Consider the following 12,264-nt stretch of genomic DNA (forward strand, 5'->3'; position numbering starts at 1 on the left):
GAAACAATCAAAAGTTGAAATCTGATTGAAGTAGGAAAGCCCAGGGCTCTACAGAGCACAGTTGAACTATGGCCCTATCAATAAAAGTATCAACAGCAATGGATTAAAATGTCTCAATTATTTAAATCTATGAGTTCTTAATGACATTTTAAGAAGTCCTCATTCATCATTTTTGCAAGTTATTTTGAAAGCTAACTCATATACAAACTATTTCAGGGTAAGTAAACTGTTGATGAATGGAAGTTCTGTCATAAAAATTTCCTAGATAATAAATGAAAAGAAATGATAAAATTTAAACAGCAATAGTATGCAGCTTCAAATGAAATAACAAATCTAAGTAAAGATCATGAATGGCCTTTAACTTCGCAGAGGGGCAATCAAATGCTGTGTGCTTACTGACACAAGTAAACACTTACTATGAAGTATTTATACCAAAAGACAAAATAAAAAGTCCTGAATCTGATCAAGCCCCTTTCTCCAACTACCAGTTTCACAAGACATATGGAAGGCAGAGGAGCACGCTAAACACCACAATAAGGATGAAATCAGCAAATCTAGAATGTGGGAAACTCCAAAAAAGACCTGTTTTGTTCAATAAATAAATTGCAAAAAACTTACAAACTAAGATAGTTGAGACAACTCAACACATTGCAAGGTATGGACCTTATCTAGATCACATTTCAACAAACTAAATTAAAAAGAAATTTATAAGACATTTGGGAAAATGTGAACATTAATGGAATATTTAATATTACAGAAGTACTAGTTTTTTAGAATAGTATGATTAATTACGTTTTTAAAAATCCTTATCTTTTAGAGGTACATATCAAAGTACATATAAAAAAACCCCGATAATTAAGTTTGTTAAAAAGTAATCTGGTGAACAGGTGGGGAGTTGATGAAACAACACTGGTAGGGAATTGATAATTGCTGGAGCTGGGTGACAGTACACAGGGGTTTATTCTACTCTCTCTACTTCTGTATGTTTCTATTAAAAAGATTCAGAAAGAGTTAACGGGGGCACATAGCAACCAATTGTATTATACGAGGCTTTATTTGAATCCTGATTCAACCAAATCATAAAAAAAAAAATTTGAGAGTATCAGGGATACCTGAGCCAGGAGCGGTGGCTCACGCCTGTAATCCCAGCACTTGGGGAGGCCGAGGTGGGCGGATCACGAGGTCACGAGTTCGAGACCAGCATGACCAAAAAGGCAAGACCCCATCTCTGCTAAAAATACAAAAATTAGCCGGGCATGGTGGCGGGCGCCTGTAATCCCAGCTTCTCGGGAGGCTGAGGCAGGAGAATCGCTTGAACCTGGGAGGAGGAGGTTTAAGCGAGCTGAGATCGTGCCATTGCACTCCAACCTGGGCGACAAGAGCAAGGCTCTAAGAAAATAAAATAAAATAAGAAAGAGAGTATCAGGGATATCTGAACACTAACTGGATATTTCGTGATATTTACAACCCTATTAATATTTTAGGTGTGATAATGGTATTGAAAAGCACCCTTGTCTTTTGGAGATCTGTATCAAAATATTTACGGATGAAATGACTTACTGCCTGGGATCTCCTTCAAAATTATCCAAAGCATCGGGATGGGGAAACAGTAATAAAGATAAAATAAAGACTAAGAGCTGATAATTGTTGAAGCCAGGTGATGGGTAAAGGGGGCTCCTTATACCAAGGTGTCTACACCTTCAAATGTTAAAACACTAAAAAAAAAAAATCTGTGGCGTTAGAAGTCAGGATACCGGTTACCTTTGGAGAGACTAAGTGGGGGCCGCAATAAGGGCTTCTGGAGCGGTAGGAATGCTCTTGCTTCCTACACAGGTTTACTCGCTTTGTGGTAATTCATCAATGTCTATATTACGACTTGCACACTTTTCAGTATGTATATTATACTCCAATAAAAAAGTATTTTAAAGAAGAAATCGACTACTTTAATGTAGGCGGAAGATCCTATGGTAGAATCTCAGGTACTACAGCAATCACTGAGAAAGCTTTTTGGGCGGAAAGGAAAGTGAGGCTCTCGCCCGGTTTCCTCCTCTCCACGGTGGAACTGGCAGCGGCCCTGGCTGGCTGCTGAGAGCGCGGAACGGGGCGGCGTTCTGACGTTCGCGCCGGGGCCCTCTGGACGCACCGCGGGCGCAGGTCCTAGACAGCTGCATTGGCGTCCACCGCGGCCCCGGCGCTGGGAAACTGCCCTCACGCTAGGGCCCTCCCCGAGGAGCTCTCTGGCACAATCAGCCACGAGGACGAAGAGAGGGGGCACCGGAACCGCAAGCCCACTCCGAGAGGCCAGAACCTCTCTCTCGCCGTACTCCCCGGCAGGGCACGGCTCAGGGGAGACGGCGCTCTGGCACATGAAGCCCACACCCACACGCCGCAGTGTCCCTTGCTGCCTCGATCTCCAATGGGGATGGGAGCGGCGAAAGCCTCATATCGGCCCTCCTCCGTCCCCCAATCAGCGAGCCCGCTTTGAGCACCTCACGGCCCTCCGGCTGGCGGCGCCCAATCACAGCGCTCCACATGCTGGGCGCGGCCCTGCGCGCGCACGCTACCCGACAGCCCCGCGCCCACTCGCCGCGTTCCACCCGCGGGGCGGCGGATTCCCGCAGGGGCCACACTGCCACCTACTGTCCCATCTCCAGAGCTGGAGCCACGGGCGCTCTCCCTACCATGCGGCCTCCCTGCTAAGTGCCAGTAGCTCAACCCAAACGCTCAAATAAAAATGAGGGAAAACAAGTAGTGTCGTCGAGTAAAACCGAAAACAATGTCCATTTTGAAAAAAGCGGCAATAATTACCTTCCAGTACACAGTAGGAAAAAGTCTCAAAAGCTTTCTTTGTTCCAAGCAGTGTGAGTTCCAAAACATTATTTCACCTCACACGTTTTATAGAGGGCTAAAAACAAGGGGCTTAGGGACTCCTCAGTGCACATATTTCTGAAGCACCTGCATGTCAGACGGAGAGGCAGGCATTACCATCATCTCTAATTTATAGGCACAGAAACCGAGTGTGACAGCTGAAAGCCGCAGAACTGGGACTGACACCCAGAAGTCGGCCTCCCAAGTGCAGACTTCAGCACATCATACACAAGGAAGGCACAAAGTGCTGAAAGAATATAGGGCAGGAAACATCGATTCTGACTGGAGAGATTCAGGATATACAAAGATATTCTAGGCAGAGGGGACAGCTGTCTCGGTGGCAGGAAAAATTCAGTAAATGGTGGCTAGTACTGCTTTTCCAAGAAAACTAGTCTTAACTGAGGAAAGGGAACAAATGTCTCTATGTGATATTTACTCATTGCAGACTTTTTTTTTTTTGAGACAGAGTCAGCTCTGTCGCCCAGGCTGTAGTGCAGCGGCGTGATCTCTGGCTCACTGCAACCTCTGCCTCCCGGGTTCGAGCGATTCTCCTGCTTCAGCCTCCATTGTAGCTGGGATTACAGGTGTGCGCCACCACGCCCGGCTATTTTGTAATTTTAGTAGAGGCGGGGTTTCACCATGTTGTCCAGGCTGGTCTTGAACTCCTGACTTGATCTGCCTACCTCAGCCTCCCAAAGTGCTGGGATTATAGGCGTGTGCCACTGCGTGCTGCCCCGCTGCAGATTATTATACTCATTATTTGGCAAACAGTTACTGCTTACTCAGGTATCCATGACAATGTTCCCTGGATTTGTGTGACTGACTATACCCAACACCAAGACACCAAACCTAGTGGCCTCATTTCCTAATCTTCCCTACATACCTAGGAAAGTGTTAATAAGCTTTCCTGGAATTCGTCATTCCCTTATCTGTACTTCACTGCACTTTGCTTATAATTCACATATGGCACATCCGAACACGCCTTGCTGTATAACTATGAGTCCATACTGGTCTGATCACTAGAACAGTATAGTATTGGCCCTACAGAGCATTTTAGGATATGTGGAAGTTGGTCTTGATTGTCACAATGACTGAAAGGCATTACTGGCACTTAATGGACAGAAAACAGGGAATTCAGATGACCTGCAATGCTGAGACTGTCCCGTACATCAAAACACTGTCTCTAGTGGGAGCCAGGGCTGTCAGTATGGAAGACGGGAGATACAAATATGGACTGGAGCAAGGCAAGAAGAATCCCATAGGGATGAACTTGGGATTGGTGTGAACTCATTATCTGCAAAATATATATAGTATATGTATATGCATATGTGTACATGTATGTTTATGTGTATGTGCATTCATTTTTTTTCCAGAACTGTTCACTGAATGGGCCAAGAAGCAAAAATTTCACAGTAGCAAAAGGACACCTAGCACCTAGATCTTGGTTTCTAATGCCATTCCTCACCAAAAGTAACCAGAGCTCCTTGGAGAAATGGTTGATTCCAGGGCTAGGCCAGGAAGGGTACACAGTGAGCCTGAAACACCTTGTTATATGAGAGAAAGTAAGTTATCAAAAAAGAGGGGGGTGGGGGAAAATGGAAGCCAGCTTGAAAGGGCTTCTATCAGCCAAGTCTGGGATATTTAGACCACCAAAATAATTGAGAAGGGTAATGAATCATTTAAAAAATTCACAAATTGATGATTTAAACATAATGCATGATAATAAACAGATAAATGAGAAAGAAATGAGAGAAAAGGAAGAGTTCTTGCTTATAGTAGAATACTGAGTGTTAGCTAGTAAATCTGGAGAAATTTTCAGAGTTGGAAAATCATTACTTTGCAACCATTATAGTAAAGATTGATTCAGGCTAAAGCCATGAATGGATGCCAAATCTAAGAGCAAACTTTTGATAAACAACATATTTGCATTACATTAAAGTCTCTCTCCGAGAATAGCCTATTAATCAGAAGGGAGAAAAACAGTAACTCTGCAGTGGAGAAATCAGACACAGTTGACTAGGTGATCAAAACTGACATCACCAGTGAAGGCATATGATATCAGGTATGTCCACATGTGATACCCTGGCAGGGGCACAACATCACTGAGAGTATTCTGGCTGGGGAAGCATAACAATGAGAAAATAGCAGAAAAATCCAAGAAAGAGGAATATTCTATTTAAAAAAAGAGATTGGGTTCTTTAAAAATATATAGGACAATGTCATAAGAAACAAAGAAAGGATAAGGAACTATGATTCTAGACAGCATCCTGTACTGGAAGAGGAAAAATGCTATGAGAGACCCTATTATTGGGTCAATTCCCAAAACTGGGATATGAATAGTAAAGTATTATATTAATGTCAAAATTTCCGAAGTTGGTAACTGTGCTATGATTATACAATAGAATGTCCTTATCTCAGGTAATGTACATTGAAGTATTCAGGATAAAGAGCTATAATATATGAAACAAACTCCCAAATGATTAAAGAAAGTGTGTATACAGGGGGAAGGAGGAGAGAGAAAGCAAAAACAAATGAATCAAAATGGTAACGACAGGTGAACATGAGTAAAAGTAGCGCTGTGGTTTAAATATTTGTCTCCTCTGAAACTCATGTTGAAATTTAATCCCCAGTGTAACAGTTTTGAGAGGCCAGTGGATCATAAGGGCTCTCCTCTGATGAATGAATTAATCCATTCATGGACTAATGGGTTAATGGATTGATGGGTTATCACGGAAGTGGGACTGGTGGCTTCATAAGAGGAAGAGAGACCTGAGCTAGCATGCTCAGCCCCCTCGCCATGTGATGCTCTGAGCCACCTCAGGACTCTGAATAGTCCTCACCAGCAGGAAGGCTCTCACCAGATGCCACCCCTCAACGCTGGCCTTCTCAGACTCTCTAACTGTAAGAAATAAATTCGTTTTCTTGATAAATGATCCAGTTTCAGGTATTGTTATAAACAACAGAAAACAAACTAAGACAGATATAGAGGAGTTCTTTGCAGTTTTTATAAGTTTAAAATTATTTCCCGCTGGGCGCGGTGGCTCAAGCCTGTAATCCCAGCACTTTGGGAGGCTGAGGTGGGCAGATCACCTGACACCAGGAGTTCAAGACCAGCCTGGCCAATAGGCAAAACCCTGTCTCTATTAAAAATGCAAACATTAGCTGGGCGTGGTGGCGTGCGGCTGTAACCCCAGCTACTCAGGAGGTGGAGGCAGGAGAATCGCTTGAACCCAGGAGGCGGAGGTTGCAGTGAGCCGAGATGACGCCACTGCATTCCAGCCTGGGCGATAGATAGTACAGACTCTGTCTCAACAACAATGACAATAACAACAACAAAATTATTTCCAAATTAAAAGATTAAAAAAATTTGCCATGTCATTTGTGACATAATTATACCATCAAAAACAACCTGTTTATCATTAATGGAACTAACTCCATTTTTCATATAAGCAAAGTTTTTTTAATGGAAAATAAGGTGAATTTTGCAACTCTATATTGAGGGAAGACATACCTTTGAATCAATCAGAACTTTACCAAGAGTTGTTCATTCTATAAATAAAATTATGTCATTATGATAGCGCCACTCCTGGTATTTGAATTTGCCAGTATACCGCATCTCTACCCATCTACACTTCTTCCATGTCTATAATTATTCCACATTTATATGCAATATTTACCTGCTTCATTGTTTCTTACTGTAGTTTTGCCTGGACATTTGTTTACAAATTGAAATACATATTGTTTAAGTTACTTCCCCTTTGTTTCTCCTCTGTATCGTGGCGAAGGAATCATACTGATTTTTTTTTTTTTTTTTGAGATGGAGTCTTGCTCTGTTGCCCAGGCTAGAGTGTAGTGGCAAGATCTCGGCTCACTGCAACCTCTGCCTCCCGGGTTCAAGCGATTCTCCTGCCTCAGCCTCCGGAGTAGCTGGGATTACAGATGCCTGCCACTGCGCCCGGCTAATTTTTGTATTTTTTAACAGACGGGGTTTCATCATCTTGGCCAGGTTGGTCTCAAACTCCTGACCTCATGATCCACCAGCCTCAGCCTCCCAAAGTGCTGGGATTACAGGTGTGAGCCACCACACCCAGCCATATACTGGTTTTTAAAACAGTAAGTATAGATAGATTATATTAACTATGAATTTAGTTTCAAGATGGCAAAAGAAGAGTATGATAAAGTACTTGTTATAAGAAGGCTACCCTGGGCCTCTTATAGACAGAATGAGACTGTAAGTTTCTCATGGAGAAGCTGCGATTACTTATCTTCAGATCTTCCACAGCTCTGCTTCAGCTGGCCTGTGCACATACACCCATCTCAGAGCTCACAGCCAACTCTGCTTGTGCAATCACATCATCAGTAAAGAAAAGGATGAGATCTTTGAAAATCCCAATAAGGTAGCCATTAGAGACAGCAATGTCTCCTGCACTTATGGGAAAAATCCATAAACACAGGGGACTTTATTCTTAACTGACATAAGCCCAAAACACAGCTAAAGAAATCTGGGGGAATATATTAGATCAGCATAGGAATTGATCCAAAAATTACATCAGTCTCATAAAACTATCACCAATCTATTTATTTTATTAATGTTCCGATGATGTTATATATACCAAAGGGCAGGCAGTACCAAAAGTCTAAAGTATGCACATTTTTAAAAACTGCTCATTGAGTCAGTGATTTCTTTTGGGGCTTGGTATTTTACAAAAGAAAGGCTGTTGTCTGTGTAATATGACATAGGGAACAGGAGAAAAGAAAGTATAATTATAAGCCCAAAGCCTGGGAAGATGTTAACCAACTATTTCTCTAAACAGCTTACATGAGATTGTAACATTGCCTTCAAACCTGTCACCTGGTAATGAAATAGAGAAGAGTCAAAAAGGGCTCTGAAGACCACAAGAGGAGTTAAGAAAATAAAGAGACTGACAATAAGACAGGATGAAATATAAAATACGAAATTCTGTAAAACAGGCTGCATGAAAACCATATGGTAAAAATGGACAAAAAACAGAAGAAAGGAACTGTTTACATATTCTAAGGAGACTAATCATGGAGGCAAAAATGAAATATTAGAAATGAACAGGATAAAACTGATTTTGCCATGTATAAAAGTCTAACTCTTTAAGACTTAAAACATGCTTATCTGAATTGAAACATCATAAAAGCATAATTTCATATATACGTTATATGAATAAATGATGGAAGACATACAGAGTGACCGAAAATGACACATATAATAGTCCAATAGGTACCTACCAAGACAGTAATGTTCTTTTTCTCTTGCTTCCCATTTGTGGCTGTCTACATAGGCTGAAGAAAGCAGGTATCTTTTACCTGAGAAAATAGGCAATTATTTCAACACACATGGTTTTACAAGAGGTTCATTTTATATGTTTTATTAAATATATCTTCACTATCCTTTCAACTACTAGATTATATATTTTAAATAATCTAATACAGTACAGCAACCAATATCGCATAGTTGACAATTCAGTGAAGAACAAAATGCATTCAACCCCTAACAAGTGAAGATGCAGAAAAACAGGATTTTCACAATAATTTTTTAAATAAAATAAACAGGGTCTTGCTATAATGCCCAGGCTGGAATGCAGTAGCTATTCACAGGCACAATCCCACTACTGATCGGCACAGGAATTTTGATGTGCTCAGTTTCCAACCTGGTTCACCCTTCCTGAAGCAACCTGGTAGTTCCCTGCTCCTGGAACGTCAATCATCCTATCGATGCCAAACTTAGTGTGGACACTTGATCGGTATTGTGCACTACAGCCCAGAACTCCTGGGTGATCCTCCTGCCTCAGCCTCCCAAGTAGTTAGCATTACAGACACATACCACTGCGCTATGCCCATAATTTTATGGATAAAACTGCTAATTTTGTTCCTATAACTTTAAGACTAGGAGCCACTTGTTGCTAGTAAATTATAATCCAGGCAAGCCCTAGAACACCTTCTTAGAACCAAAAACACCTGCTGACTGTTGCTTAACTCATTAATTAAATGCTTTATAATTATTATGCCTAAAAAACATTTTCATCTTAGATCCACAGGTTTCAATCATTTCACATAAAGCAAGGAGTAGTATCTTACCCAATGAGCCAGCACCCTAGTGGTAAATTAAAGAAACTCACAAAGCCAAAGCTGAGGTAACGTACAAGATAGCATACCACTATTCCTAGCTCCTGGCACAATGCCTAGCCTTTGGCAGTGTTTAACAAACATGAGCTCAAGGAGTGAATGAGAAAGAATGAATGGCAAGTTCATCAAAATTTAAAACTTTTGTGCTTTGAAGTACAATCTCAGGAAAGTGAAAGTACAACCCAAAGAACAGGAGAAAATATTTGCAAAACATTTATCTAGTACAAGACTTGTATCCAAAATATTTCAATAAATCTTACAACTCAAAAATAAAAAAAAAGACAACCCAAATGAATGATGGGTAAAGGATTTAAACAGGTATACCTTTAAAAACATATATACACTGAGGTGGGTGGATCACTTAAGCTCAGGAGTTCAAGACCAGCCTGGGAAACATGGTGAAACCCCGTTTCTACAAAAAACACAAAAATTAGCCAGCCATGGTGGCATGCACCTGTAGTCCCAACTACTCAGGAGGCTGAGGTGGGAGAATCGACTGAGCCCGGGAGGCAGAGGTTGCAGTAAGTCAAGATCATGCCACTGCACTCCAGCCTGGGCAACAGAGTGAGACTCTGTTTCGAAAAAAAAAAAAAAAGAAAAAGTAAAATATATATGTATACACACACAAATAGCTAATAATCATAAGGACAGATGCTTAACATAATTTGCCATTAGAGAAATGCAAAACAAAATCACCTGGAGAAACGAATGATACTCACTACAATGACCACCATCAAAAAACAGATAATGACAACTGCTGGGGAGGATGCAGAGAAACCAGAAACTCATACCTTACTGGAGAGAACATAAAACAGTGCAGCTGCTTTTTAAAGAATTTGGTAGCTCCTCAAAATGTTAACATGGAGTTACTCTATCACCCAGCAATTCCACTCCTAGGTTTACAACCAAGAAAAATGAAAACTTGTGTCCACAGAAAATTTGTAAACAAATGTTCACAGTAGTATTATTCATAACGGACAAAAAGTGGAAACAACCCAAATATCCATCAATTGATGAATAAACAAAATGTGGTCTATCCTTACAATGGAATAGTATTTGGCAATAAAAAATGAAGTACTGATACATACTACATGGGTGAATCCTGAAAACATGTTAAGTAAAAAAGACGCCAGTCACAAAAGACCACATATTATATGATTCCATTATATGAGCAATCCAGAATAGGCAAGTCTGTAGAGACAGAAAGTAGATTCATGGTTGCTAAGGGCTAAAGGTGAGGATCAGGAAAGCTAGAGGAGAAATGGGGAGCAATTGCAAATGGGCATGGAATTTCTTTTTGGGATAATGAAAATGTCCTAAAATAGCTTGTGATGATGGCTCCAGAACTCTGTGTTTATACTAAAACCTTTGAATTGTATACTGCATTTGTTGTTTCTTTGTTTGTTTTTGAGATGGAGTTTTGCTCGTTGCCCAGGCTGGAGTGCAATGGTGTGATCTTGGCTCACTGCAATTTCCACCTCCCAGGTTCAGGTAATTCTCCTGCCTCAGCCTCCAGAGTAGCTGGGATTACAGGCGCCTGCCACCATGCTTGGATAATTTTTTGTATTTTTAGTAGAGACGGGGTTTCACCATAATAGCCAGGCTGGTCTCGAACTCCTACCTTAGGAGATCCCCCAGCCTTGGCCTCCCAAAGTGCTGGGATTACAGGCGTGAGCCACCATGCCTGGCCTGAATTGTGTATTTTAAATGGATGAATTGTATGGCATGTGAATTATACCTCAATAACTCTGTTTAAAAAAATAGAAAAACAGCCAGGTGCAGTGGCTCATGCCTGTAATCCCAGCACTTTGGGAGGCCGAGGTGGGCGGATCACCTGAGGTCGGGAGTTCGAGGCGAGCCTGACCAACATGGAGAAACCTTGCCTCTACTAAAAATACAAAATTAGCCAGGCGTGGTGGTGCATGCCTGTAATCCCAGGTACTTGGGAGGCTGAGGCAAGAGAATCCCTTGAAGCCAGGAGGTGGAGGTTGTGGTGAGCCGAGATCACGCCATTGCATTCCAACCTGGGCAATAAGAGCGAAACTCCGTCTCAAAAAAAAAAAAAAACAAACAGAAAAAATGACAGATAATTATGCTGAGGTCACAGCAGACCAAAAGCCCAACACAACTAGATAGCATGGGGGCTGATTAAACACAGTATTGGAATGCTGTTTTTATTCTCTACCTACTTTCCAGCTCAAACAAATAAACAAATACAAACACATCTGTGTGAATTTATACACAGTTCATTCTCTTACTGTGAACACAGATCTTTACTAGAATAATATATCTAAATTTGAGTTCTACAAATTAAATAATGAGGCAACAATAAGGTTTCCAAAGACGCTTTCAAAAGGAGAACTAAGAAAAGACTATAATTATTTAAATTAATTTCCATTTATTTTTTCGTTTTGGAAATGGAGTTTCGCTCTTGTTGCCCAGGCTGGAGTGCAATGGCATGATCTCAGCTCACTGCAACCGGAAGGCGGAGGCCTTCCAGGTTCAAGCGATTCTCCTGCCTCAGCCTCCTGAGTAGCTGGGATTTCAGGCATGCGCCACCACGCCTAATTTTGTATTTTTAATAGAGACAGGGTTTCTCCATGTTGGCCAGGCTGGTCTCAAACTCCTGACCTCAGGTGATCCACCCACCTCAGCCTCCCAAAGTGCTGGGATTACAGGTGTGAGCCACCACACCCGGCCTAATTTTATTTATTATTATTATTTTTTTGAGATGGAGTATCTCTCTGTTGCCCAGGCTGGAGTGTAGTGGCATGATCTTGGCTCACTGCAACCTTTGCCTCCAGGGTTCAAGCAATTCTCCTGCCCCAGGGGGATGGTTCTAGAATACCCCCTCAAATACCAAAATCTGAGAATGCAGAAGTCTCTTACATAAAATTGCACAGTATTTGCAAATAACCCACAAACATCCTCCTGCATTACTTTAAGCTGGGGTGTCCATTTTTTTGGCTTCCCTGGTCACATTGGAAGAAGAACAATTGTCTTGGGCCACACATACATAAACTACACTAACACTAATGATAGCTGATGGGCAAACAAACAAAACAAAAAATGCTAAAAATCTCCTAATATTTTAGTTAAGTTTACAAATTTGTGTTGGGCCACATTCAAAACTGTCCTGGGCTGAGGGTTGGACAAGCTGCTTTAAGTCATTTGTAGATTACTTATAATACCTAACACAATGTAAACGCAATGTAAGTGGTTGTCATGTTGTATTTTCTTTGT

At 41.4% G+C, this 12,264-nt stretch overlaps 1 protein-coding gene and 1 pseudogene across 3 annotated transcripts in view, besides 3 other annotated features; both read right to left on the bottom strand.

Moving 5' to 3' along the window:
* The window catches only part of MRPS27 (mitochondrial ribosomal protein S27), a 100,838-nt gene that overhangs the window by 86,554 nt on the left and 2,020 nt on the right, over positions 1-12,264 (bottom strand). For all 3 annotated transcript variants that reach the window (NM_001286751.2, NM_015084.3, NM_001286748.2), the window contains exon 2: positions 8,125-8,202. Coding sequence is in view for 2 of the 3 variants with exons in the window: in NM_015084.3 (NP_055899.2) it covers positions 8,125-8,202 (78 nt within the window). In the remaining variant the exon portion in view is untranslated. The remainder of the gene's footprint in view (positions 1-8,124; positions 8,203-12,264) is intronic.
* Positions 2,156-2,405: an enhancer, noted in NCBI's record as "active region_22646". NCBI's record gives its function as "activates an Ori minimal core promoter by ATAC-STARR-seq in GM12878 lymphoblastoid cells {active_cell/tissue: GM12878}" and the evidence as "EXISTENCE:reporter gene assay evidence [ECO:0000049][PMID:35858748]".
* Positions 2,456-2,745: a silencer, noted in NCBI's record as "silent region_16079". NCBI's record gives its function as "represses an Ori minimal core promoter by ATAC-STARR-seq in GM12878 lymphoblastoid cells {active_cell/tissue: GM12878}" and the evidence as "EXISTENCE:reporter gene assay evidence [ECO:0000049][PMID:35858748]".
* Positions 6,051-6,551: an enhancer, noted in NCBI's record as "H3K27ac hESC enhancer chr5:71607834-71608334 (GRCh37/hg19 assembly coordinates)". NCBI's record gives its function as "activates a minimal SCP1, AML or CMV promoter by ChIP-STARR-seq in primed H9 embryonic stem cells {active_cell/tissue: H9 hESC(primed)}" and the evidence as "EXISTENCE:reporter gene assay evidence [ECO:0000049][PMID:30033119]".
* RN7SL153P (RNA, 7SL, cytoplasmic 153, pseudogene) lies at positions 8,441-8,732 on the bottom strand (annotated as a pseudogene).

Source organism: Homo sapiens, chromosome 5 (assembly GCF_000001405.40).
Source record: "Homo sapiens chromosome 5, GRCh38.p14 Primary Assembly".
NCBI lineage: Eukaryota > Metazoa > Chordata > Mammalia > Primates > Hominidae > Homo > Homo sapiens.